Consider the following 12,690-nt stretch of genomic DNA (forward strand, 5'->3'; position numbering starts at 1 on the left):
ACATCAAGAACACAGATGAGCCAGAGTGTCACAGGTTCTTGAAAAATGGGCCATACATCTCAGAATTATCTGAGCCAGCCCAGCCCCACCTCCTATTTCTGTTTATATTCTAGAAGCTGCAGACTATGAAAGTTTATCATGATGGTGGAAGAATAAACGGGGGGAGGCATAAGAGGGCAAAAGTGCTCAGGCTACCTCAGAATCCACACCTATGGGTTACAGAGACTGGGACGGAGAGTGAACACAGGACAAAGAATCTGCTTTTCTATTTTCAGGTTGTGTGTGTATAATTAAGTGAAGTCTTTTTTGTTTTTGCTTTGTTTTAAACATGAATTTAGTGGCATTTGCCTTGTAATTTGTAAAACTTCCACCAAGATTCTGGCATTAGTCTGCCTGTTACTTTGAGTTTTTTTGGTGTTGTGTATTTCTTTTTTTTTTTTTGAGACGGAGTCTTGCTCTGTCACCCAGGCTGGAGTGCTGTGGTGCAATCTCGGCTCACTGCAAGCTCCACCTCCCAGGTTTATGCCATTCTCCTGCCTCAGACTCCTGAGTAGCTGGGACTACAGGCACCCGCCACAACGCCCAGCTAATTTTTTGTATTTTTAGTAGAGATGGGGTTTCATCGTGTTAGCCAGGATGGTCTCGATCTCCTGACCTTGTGATCTGCCCGCCTCAGATTCCCAAAGTGCTCGGATTACAGGCATGAGCCACTGCGCCCGGCCGATGTTGTGTATTTCTTTACATTTCCTTATTGCATTATTTATTGCAAAGTTTGAAAGAGCCATAGAGGAACTGCTGCCCAAATGCCATTTTGAACTGGAAGTCGAGGCCACTGGATTTTTTTTAACCAAATGGGTTCACCCATACTTATCAAAGCCACTGCTTTTTTAGCATGCAGCCTTGATACCCAGAGGATGCCAAGAGACATGAGGTGGCCAGTCCAGGCTGAAATGCGATTTCCTTCTGGCTTGCCAGTTGCTCTCCCTAGCCCTGTCAGCAGCCTGACACTTCATGTTCCTTCTTATTTCTGACTTGGCCACATTTTATGAGCTCAGCTGATTGAATTAGTGTTCCCACTCCCTTCCCAGTTATGTGTTACACATTCTCCAAAGGGTATGGCTAATAACAAGGTTGGAGCTAGAAATGTGTCCTCAAGCAAGAATGTCACGAAGAATCCCTTTGTGTCAACCACAAAATAAATATGGCTCCAGCCTCTGAAAAGAGAAAAATGTTAAGATTTTCCTTTATTTCCTAGAAAGACCTGAACCCCTGGGGGAAATCAGCCTAGTTCAAGCAGACACTGCTCATTAGGTAAAAATAATTAGCCCAAGTGCATCTTGTTCTTGTCTGGAAAAGCAAGATTTAGGAGAGATGCCAAAAGCCTTAATATCACTCTGGATGTAATCCAGAAGAAAGGGGGAGGCCTCCTTATGTTGAGGACCCTGGTTTCCCAGGCCTTGGGGTGGGATCAGGTGGTAAATACATGAATATATTACTTCCCATATTCGCTTTGATCAGGAACAGGGAGCAGAGCCAGTGTGAGTAAAGAAAACAGCAAAGAAAAATTTGCAGCTTGCAGCTTGCAGCTTGCATCTCTGGTTGTCAGGCTGCTGTGCCTGCTGTGAATGAAAGGGACGTTGCCCTCCTCCCTCAGCCTCCCTGCAGCCTTTCCTTGCTCTGCAGCCCAGGACATCACCAGCATATAATCAATAGCAGCCCACAGGCCACACGGGTGGTCCTCCAGGCCCTTGAGCATTTAGTGGCAGTAATCAATGCAGTGTTCCCCCTAATGATGAGAGACATCTGCCCTTGATTGCCCTAGGTTACAATGGCTGTGTCATCCTGTCCTGCCACTTGGGCCCCGAGAAACTACTACTTCAAAGATAGTATAATACTGTGCTTGCTGTGTTTACTCTTTAGGTTTACTTTCCCTTAACTCTAGAGTGAATCCTCTTTGCTGTTTGCCATCTTTTCTCAGATGCCTTGGTGTTGAGACAACACAGAAGGACATGGTAAACTGAAAAACTGGACCACTGTACAGCTGATGTTATCCTGGACAACGTGTAATCTTTCCTACTGCTCCCCATTCCATCTTAGCCCCTTTTTCACCTCTTTCCACATCTCTTTGTTTCTCTAAAATTCTGGGTGCAATACGTCAGCTAATTGCCTTTACATCTTATTTGTAAAATGGGATTCCAATATTAAAGAGGAAACAGTGTGGTCGAGGGTAAAGTACACACATTTAGGAAACATCAAACGCCAGCTTCAGACCTGGCCCTGCCATCTGGTAACTGAAGACTTGGTAAAGTTATTGAACCTCTCTGAACCTCTGTTCCCTTATTTGTAAACTTGGAAACAAGTCATTACAATGCCGAGTCATCTTTCAGTGACAATGCATGCATGGTGCTTAATATCATTGCTATTATCACCACCAGCTGATTTTTATTATTATTATTATTTTTTTGGTGAAAATTAGATGAGATGTGAAAGTACTTTGAATACATTGCTAAATAAGTTGTAAAATATTTGCCTACTTTTGGCCAGGTGTGGAGGCTCATGCCTGTAATCTCAGCACTTTGGGAGGCCGAGGCAGGCAGAGGACTTGAGGTCAGGAGTTCAAGACCAGCCTGGCCAACATGGTGAAACCCCATCTCTACAAAAAATACAAAAGTTAGATGGGTGTGGTGCTGCGCACCTGTAATCTCAGCTACTCAGGAGGCTGAGGCAAAAGAATCACTTGAACTCGGGAGTTGAAGGTTACAGTGAGCCAAGATCGTGCCATTGCACTCCAGCCTGGGTGATGGAGTGAGACTCTGTTTCAAAAAAAAAATTGCCTAGTTTTTACATACAGTAATGTTACATGCATTATGACAGCTTTTAATCTCTCATGACATCCTATGTAAACCTTTTTAAATGCAGTGGTATATTGATTTAAATAATATATGTTATGGGGGAACTATACATTTTTATGAATGATTTTGATCATTCTATAACTAGTTACAGATTCTAGGCTATATTACATAGTATGTTTTTGGTTTCAAGTGAAGGAAACTAATTTCCTATGTAGTGGTGGTCCCCCCTTATCTGTGGGGAAACACCTAAGACTCCCATTGATTGCCTGAAATCATGTTTAGTACCAAACTCTACATACACTGTTTTTTCCATGTTATAACCAAAACAGATACTAATGGGCGACTAATGGGCAGGTAGTGTATACAGTGTAGATACACTGGACACAGGGGTGATTCATGTCTGGGGCCAGACAAAGCACCGTGGTGAGAGGTTTTATCATGCTACTCAGAATGGTGCACAATTTAAACCTTATGAATTGTTTATTTCTGGAATTTTCCATTTAATATTTTCAAACTTTAGTTGACCATGGGTAACTAAAACCATGAAAAGCAAAACCACAGATAAGGGAGAACCACTGTATTTTACACACACATACACACACACATATACAGAATTATATGTATAATATATATGTATAGTGACCCTTGAACAACATGGGTTTGAACTGTGCAGGTCCACTTATTCATGAATTTTCTTCTACCTCTGCCAACCCTCAGAGAGGAAGACCAACCCTTCTCCCTCCTCTTCCTTAGCCTACTCAAGATAAAGACAGCAAGGATGAAGACCTTTATGCTGATGAACCACTTTCAGTTAATAAATAGCAAATATATTTTCTCTTCCTTATGGTTTTTCTTATTAACATTTTATTTTCTCTAGCTTACTTTATTGTAAGAATACAGTATGTAATACATAAAATATACAATATATGTGTTAATTGACTGTTTATGTTATTGATAAGGCTTTTAGTCAACAGTAGGCTATTAGTTAACTTTTGGGGGAGTCAAAAGTTATATATAAATTCTTGACTGTGCAGAAAGTTGGTGCCCCTAACCCCTGTGTTGTTCAAGGGTCAACTGTACTTATATATTCATATATATGAATTATACACAGAATTATACATAAAATTCTATATAAGTATATAATGTGTGTGTGTGTGTGTGTGTGTGTAAAGAACGATGCAGATATAGCTTACAAAAATGTTGAAAAAATGGTGGAAACTAGGAATTAGGGCCTTGGGATTTGAAATTGGGGGTTCAGTACCACTAGTATTGTCCTTGTCCAGTTCTTGTCCTTCTCCACAAGGTGGAAACCATGGTCACTGGTGTGGTCACCAAGCCACTATCAGCCAGGAAAGTGTATTTCTCCCAGTGTCTGCATGAGTCATGTGCCCATGCCAGAACAAATCACTTCACTGGGCAATGGGGGCTCATGATTGGCCAGGCCTGGTGACAGCTAAAGCTCTTACTAGAAGGTGGAAGGAATGTTTCTTAGGCAGATAAGTGCAGCTACCATAATCTCTTACATTCCACTTCATGGCTGCCGGGGCTTACACTCACCGTCTTTATTTCCATACACACAATTCCAGAATTCCTAGTGTAACACAGCTATCCCATGTGAAATCAAATATGCATGCCCCACCACCCCTAAAAGGAAAAGATCTCAAAATCACATCCAGTAGCCTCATCTAGCCTGAGACCTGGATGCTGGCTGATGGTCATGTCCAGATACAGCTTCTTATAGTATGTCAATTGATGGCTAATTGGTCCATGTAACCATCCCCAACACACTGAATAACCAATAGTGAAGGTAAAACAGGAAAACCACAACAGGAACTCTCATCTATAAAGGGGGAACATGAAAACATTTGAGATGTTCTCTCCCAGTCTATTGCAGATCCTCTGCATCTGCGCTTGGTTGGCTGGTCTGGCTACCCTGATGATTCTCCTGCTGGGAGAACTTTCCCTACTTGTTGACCTCCAGGACCATGACTGAGAAGCATGTAGGAATGTTTCCTCATCAGGGAGCTGCTTTAGCAATGCCTTTCCTGTTGACATGATTTTGGAGCCTGGGAATTGTTTTAGGAGTGGAGTATTATGGGTTGCTTCTTTCTAAGCTGGGTTTTCTTTGTCACTTTAACTTCCTTAAAACCCTGCTAAGCTGCCAGTCTATTCAATTCATAGGAAAATTTATAGCTAGTAACCAAAGCAATAAATTTTTAAAATCATGGTCCTTAACACCAGATCTTACTCATTCCTTTGCAGTTTTCTTCTCTTAGCAACAGGTCTGGGGGCTCTGTCCACTGGACCAGACCTCAGCCTGGCACTGCCATGGTGCAGGATGAAGGAGTAAGCCCTGATGAGAGACAGAACCAAGCTCCCAATCTTACATAAAGTATCAGAAAATAAAGGCACAGCAACAGCCTCATGTGTGGGAAGGGGGACAGGGGACTGGTCAGGCTTCGCCCACTTCTGAGGACACTCCCATCCCCTCTCTTACAGATGCTCTGTTCCCACCATTGCCTTGCTTTTACTCACAAACAGAATTTAAGTCCCACCCCCACACGTCCTGGATTGCTGGTCACAGGAGAAAGGTCAGCTGCATTCTGCTCTCTTTCTCCTTCTATTATTACGCGGGCTAAGTTGGACAAGGGCTTGTTTCTTTCTTGCAAGGTCTTCCTGTAGGCCAGAAGTGATATTTAACCAGTACGCCTGTAGGCCCAAAACTGTTTATAAATATGAAAAGAGCTACAGCCTTAAGCCTCTTTTGCCTCTGAACTACCCTCTACCCTTCCCCACTGCCCTGGCCCTTCCCCAGGACCTCCTGAGGACATCACAATTAGCAATTAAGGGGCTGGTGTGAGCCAGTCAGTGCCTCAGGGCCCAGCTGCTCATCCCACATCCATTCTGATTGGTGGATTGAGAGCTGTATGAGTTGTTGAAGGTATTTTGAATATCACCCCTGCTGAAAGCCACAAGTAGTCAAGATCCATTAATAATCAGAAATTTTCTGCCAAATCCCCTGAAGTTCCATGTAGACATATCATCTGAATGCCAACAAACAGTTAACAGTTTAGCTATTTTTTTTTTCTGTAGCGCATAAATGTATCTGAGCCAGAATAGATCACAGTCTATGCCTCAATATCTTGAGCCAGCCAAGTTTTGTATTTAAGGTCATCTTTTAAAATCTGTTATTTGAACACTTCAGGCTCTAGTTTTTTAAAGTAATTAGTAGTTTTTGACCTTTAGTAACATAAGCCAACTTCTGTCTAATTTAGGCATAAAACAATATTTATTGGAAACATACTGATAGTTTTCAGGCAGTGAAACAATAAGAAAATTACACTAAGTTTTTAATGAACATTCCAGAATTTTTGTATTCAAAAGAATGTTGTATTTGAAAGTGGTCACCTTGAATGATTTTGCATTTATTCCAACCTCACCATCATTGCTCAGACTTGGTTTTGGACTGTCTAACTTTGAATTGCTTCCAGAACGTACGTTGTACTCTATCGAATAACTAAATTATGCCAGATTTTTGCCCTTTGAAGGTGGATTTGATTTGCTTAGAAAATCATTTGAAATCACATTTGGTGGCTGAGGTGACTTATCAGTGGTTTGGATAATAATTTGGTAAATCATTTTTTAATTTTTTAAATAATTAATTTTTTAATTTTAAAGTCTTTTTTTGTAGCAGAGACTGAAAAGTAGGGGTGAAATGTTGTTTTCTTTAATATTATCTAAGGTTCTTCCTCTCTTTGCCTGGTTGATGACAGGTTCTTCCTCTTCTTACTAACAGGTTAATGATGATAATTAGTTAGTAATTGGCTGACAATCTTCAGCCAACAGAATGTGTGACCAAAAGAGTGACTTTCAGAGTCCAGACTCAACTAGATACTGCAAACTGACCCAAGGGAATAAGGGAAGGGAGCTATTAAGGGAAGTAACTAAAGACTGCAATTCTACCTAGAGACTAATTTAACCATAAGATAGGGAAGTTGCGGAGACAAGTAGTGACTTCTGTGAGTATGCTGTTCGGAGAGTATGGCTATGGCAGACAGGGCTTTGGAATAAAGTGGACCTGAGTTCAAATCCTGCCTTCCCTGTGTGGCCTTGAGCAAGTTACATTACCCTCTTGGGAGCCAGTTGCCCAATCCACAAAGGAGGGATTATCACACCCATCTTGCGGGTTGTTGCGAGAATTACATGTGTATCTTAATTTTAAAAGCCTGGGACAATGCTTAACACATAATAAATACATGATGACACTATTGTCTCACCCACAACAACAGAAATGAGTATGTGTGTTTATTTGCTCTTAAACCCATGCTTGAGCAAAAGACGAGAAGGTTTGAGGAAATGCCACACTATATTCCAAAGTAATAACATAAAGAATCCACGCGCATGAAACCACACACAAATAAATGCAGGAAGTTTAATATTCTATGCAGTCCAAGGTCGATAAAAATGTGTCAAAAGCACGACAAGTGTGAGGTGATAAGAAAGGAAATTGCTTTCAGTGTGAACACCCCCGTTTTCTTTTGCTTTTCCTCACCCTGGCTTCCCACCACTGTCACTGCTGATTTCCCTGATGGCTGTGTCCACCCCAGTTGCCAGATCTTCACGTCGCTGCAGCAGCCTCCAGGTAGACAGATCTGACTCACAGGAGCCCAGCAGGGGCCTCTGGGTTCCCACAGCGTTCAAGTTGACATGGTGTAAAGAGGTGTAATTTAGTGTTCAACCTCTCATCCCTGGGAGCTTCCGCTTTGTCAATGAAGAGTCAACCAGATGCATTTTATTTTAAAATTCTGTTTCCTATAGCAAGTAATTTTCAAAGATGTGCTCTTTCTGAGCCTTCAAATCATCCTCTTAACCTGAATTTTTTTTTCTTAGAGCCCATGTTTGCTTATTTTATATTATTTTTTAGTTAACTAATGCTTTAGGGAACAACTCTCTTGAGATTTATCATCTAGAGAATTGTAGGGGATATCTTTCTCCTGTTTCTAGCCACGGGGTGCTGCAGCTTCCCTCTTCCAACCTGGACTGAGAGGCAATTTTGATGAGTACTGCATCTGGCCCAGATACTGGGGCCTGACCTGATGTCCCCCAGAGGAGCTCTGCTGGACTCAGATGGGCTTTCCCCGCTTTCTGCCTCACAAGTTCTCTGATGAAGGAGGAGTATCAGCTATTCATTTTGTGTATGTGGCGCCTGAACCTTCATGGAACATATCCCAGATCGCAGTGTGCCACAGCCAGATCTCTCATCTGGGTTCTTTTTTTTAAAGTTGGGCCTGAATGGAAATAGAGATGCTGCTGTGTGGTAGGTGGGGGGGAGTGACAGGGCCCCGACTGCTCAGAAGAAAGTCCCCTTTGTGTGACAAGTGACGCACTCTTGAGGTGTGGCTGCTGGAGCAGGTGGTGGGGATGAGGTAAGGCAGGGTGTCTGTAGTTCAGTATGTTTCTCAATCTAATGACAAGGCAGTCATTAGAAATTCCCCAGACTGGTATGTTGTGTCTTTGTTCTTGTTGGTTTCAAAGAACGTCGTTATTTCTGCCTTCATTTCGTTATGTACCCAGTAGTCATTCAGGAGCAGGTTGTTCAGTTTCCATGTAGTTGAGCGGTTTTGAGTGAGATTCTTAATCCTGAGTTCTAGTTTGATTGCACTGTGGTCTGAGAGATAGTTTGTTATAATTTCTGTTCTTTTACATTTGCTGAGGAGAGCTTTACTTCCAAGTATGTGGTCAATTTTGGAATAGGTGTGGTGTGGTGCTGAAAAGAATGTATATTCTGTTGATTTGGGGTGGAGAGTTCTGTAGATGTCTATTAGGTCCACTTGGTGCAGAGCTGAGTTCAATTCCTGGGTATCCTTGTTGACTTTCTGTCTCGTTGATCTGTCTAATGTTGACAGTGGGTTGTTAAAGTCTCCCATTATTAAGGTGTGGGAGTCTAAGTCTCTTTGTAGGTCACACAGGACTTGCTTTATGAATCTGGGTGCTCCTGTATTGGGTGCATATATATTTAGGATAGTTAGCTCTTCTTGTTGAATTGATCCCTTTACCATTATGTAATGGCCTTCTTTGTCTCTTTTGATCTTTGTTGGTTTAAAGTCTATTTTATCAGAGACTAGGATTGCAACCCCTGCCTTTTTTTGTTTTCCATTTGCTTGGTAGATCTTCCTCCATCCTTTTATTTTGAGCCTATGTGAATCTCTGGGACGCATTCAAAGCAGTGTCTAGAGGGAAATTTATAGCACTAAATGTCCACAAGAGAAAGCAGGAAAGATCCAAAATTGACACCCTAACATCACAATTAAAAGAACTAGAAAAGCAAGAACAAACACAATCAAAAGCTAGCAGAAGGCAAGAGATAACTAAAATCAGAGCAGAACTGAAGGAAATAGAGACACAAAAAACCCTTCAAAAAATTAATGAATCCAGGAGCTGGTTTTTTGAAAGGATCAACAAAATTGATAGACCGCTAGCAAGACTAATAAAGAAGAAAAGAAAGAAGAATCAAAAAGATGCAATAAAAAATGATAAAGGGGATATCACCACCGCTCCCACAGAAATACAAACTGCCATCAGAGAATACTACAAAGACCTCTACGCAAATAAACTAGAAAATCTAGAAGAAATGGATAAATTCCTCGACACATACGCTCTCCCAAGACTAAACCAGGAAGAGGTTGAATCTCTGAATAGACCAATAACAGGAGCTGGAATTGTGGCAATAATCAATAGCTTACAAACCAAAAAGAGTCCAGAACCAGATGGATTCACAGCCGAATTCTACCAGAGGTACAAGGAGGAACTGGTGCCATTCCTTCTGAAACTATTCCAATCAATAGAAAAAGAGGGAATCCTCCCTAACTCATTTGATGAGGCCAGCATCATCCTGATACCAAAGCCAGGCAGAGACACAACCAAAAAAGAGAATTTTAGACCAATATCCTTGATTAACATTGATGCAAAAATCCTCAATAAAATACTGGCAAACCAAATTCAGCAGCACATCAAAAAGCTTATCCACCATGATCAAGTGGGCTTCATCCCTCCGATGCAAGGCTGGTTCAATATACGCAAATCAATAAATGTAATCCAGCATATAAACAGAACCAAAGACAAAAACCACATGATTATCTCAATAGATGCAGAAAAGGCCTTTGACATAATTCAACAACCCTTCATGCTAAAAACTCTCAATAAATTAGGTATTGATGGGAAGTATCTCAAAATAATAAGAGCTATCTATGACAAACCCACAGCCAATATCATATTGAATGGGCAAAAACTGGAAGCATTCCCTTTGAAAACTGGCACAAGACAGGGATGCCCTCTCTCACCACTCCTATTCAACATAGTGTTGGAAGTTCTGGGCAGGGCAATTAGGCAGGAGAAGGAAATAAAGGGTATTCAGTTAGGAAAAGAGGAAGTCAAATTGTCCCTGTTTGCAGACGACATGATTGTATATCTAGAAAACCCCATTGTCTCAGCCCAAAATCTCCTTAAGCTGATAAGCAACTTCAGCAAAGTCTCAGAATACAAAATCAACGTACAAAAATCACAAGGATTCTTATACACCAACAACAGACAAACAGAGAGCCAAATCGTGAGTGAACTCCCATTCACAATTGCTTCAAAGAGAATAAAATACCTAGGAATCCAACTTACAAGGGACGTGAAGGACCTCTTCAAGGAGAACTACAAACCACTGCTCAAGGAAATAAAAGAGGATACAAACAAATGGAAGAACATTCAATGCTCATGGGTAGGAAGAATCAGTATCATGAAAATGGCCATACTGCCCAAGGTAATTTACAGATTCAATGCCATCCCCATCAAACTACCAGTAACTTTCTTCACAGAATTGGAAAAAACGACTTTAAAGTTCATACGGAACCAAAAAAGAGCCCGCATCGCCAAGTCAATCCTAAGCCAAAAGAACAAAGCTGGAGGCATCACACTACCTGACTTCAAACTATACTACAAGGCTACAGTAACCAAAACAGCATGGTACTGGTACCAAAACAGAGATATAGATCAATGGAACAGAACAGAGCCCTCAGAAATAATGCCGCATATCTACAACTATCTGATCTTTGACAAACCTGAGAAAAACAAGCAATGGGGAAAGGATTCCCTATTTAATAAATGGTGCTGGGAAAACTGGCTAGCCATATGTAGAAAGCTGAAACTGGATCCCTTCCTTACACCTTATACAAAAATCAATTCAAGATGGATTAAAGACTTAAACGTTAGATCTAAAACCATAAAAACCCTAGAAGAAAACCTAGGCATTACCATTCAGGACATAGGCATGGGCAAGGACTTCATGTCTAAAACACCAAAAGCAATGGCAACAAAAGCCAAAACTGACAAATGGGATCTCATTAAACTAAAGAGCTTCTGCACAGCAAAAGAAACTACCATCAGAGTGAACAGGCAACCTACAAAATGGGAGAAAATTTTCACAACCTACTCATCTGACAAAGGGCTAATATCCAGAATCTACAATGAACTCAAACAAATTTACAAGAAAAAAACAAACAACCCCATCAAAAAGTGGGCGAAGGACATGAACAGACACTTCTCAAAAGAAGACATTTATGCAGCCAAAAAACACATGAAAAAATGCTCACCATCACTGGCCATCAGAGAAATGCAAATCAAAACCACAATGAGATACCATCTCACACCAGTTAGAATGGCAATCATTCAAAAGTCAGGAAACAACAGGTGCTGGAGAGGATGTGGAGAAATAGGAACACTTTTGCACTGTTGGTGGGACTGTAAATTAGTTCAACTATTGTGGAAGTCAGTGTGGCCATTCCTCAGGGATCTAGAACTAGAAATACCATTTGACCCAGCCATCCCATTACTGGGTATATACCCAAAGGACTATAAATCATGCTGCTATACAGACACATGCACACGTATGTTTATTGTGGCACTATTCACAATAGCAAAGACTTGGAACCAACCCAAATGTCCAACAATGATAGACTGGATTAAGAAAATTGGCACATATACACCATGGAATACTATGCAGCCATAAAAAATGATGAGTTCCTGTCCTTTGTAGGGACATGGATGAAATTGGAAATCATCATTCTCAGTAAACTATCGCAAGGACAAACAACCAAACACCGCATATTCTCACTCATAGGTGGGAATTGAACAATGAGAACACATGGACACAGGAAGGGGAACATCACACTCTGGGGACTGTTGTGGGGTGGGGGCAGGGGGGAGGGATAGCACTGGGAGATATACCTAATGCTAGATGACGAGTTAGTGGGTGCAGCGCACCAGCATGGCACATGTATACATATGTAACTAAACTGCACATTGTGCACATGTACCCTAAAACTTAAAGTATAATAGTAATAAATAAAAAAACAACAAAAAAACCCAACCAAACAAACAAAAAAAGAAATTCTCCAGACTGTGTCGTGCGGGTTTCTTGTATCTCTGAATTCAGTACTTTTGCTAGTTTTTCTTTCTTGTTCTGTATCTTCTTGGGTATTAAAATACAGTGGTGAGATAAGATAAAGAAAGCAATATTAGTCTACTATACCATCGTATAGTGCAAAACTTTACTATAAATTTTTTTCCTTTGGTTGGTCTGGAGTTTCTGTATCACTCACCGTCTGCTAAACATTGAAATAAGGTAATCTGCTACTTAGTTTATTTTGGGAACTCTCTGTTCAGAAAAGAGTTGAACACACATCAAGTTTGTTGTTAAAATAAAGGTACCTGGTGTACTTTTTACAAAAATATATATATATTTCTATAATATCTATCTATCTATATATATAGAAATGACTCATGTCCAGTGATT

The sequence above is a fragment of the Homo sapiens genome, chromosome 2 (assembly GCF_000001405.40).
Source record: "Homo sapiens chromosome 2, GRCh38.p14 Primary Assembly".
Classification (NCBI taxonomy): Eukaryota; Metazoa; Chordata; class Mammalia; order Primates; family Hominidae; genus Homo; species Homo sapiens.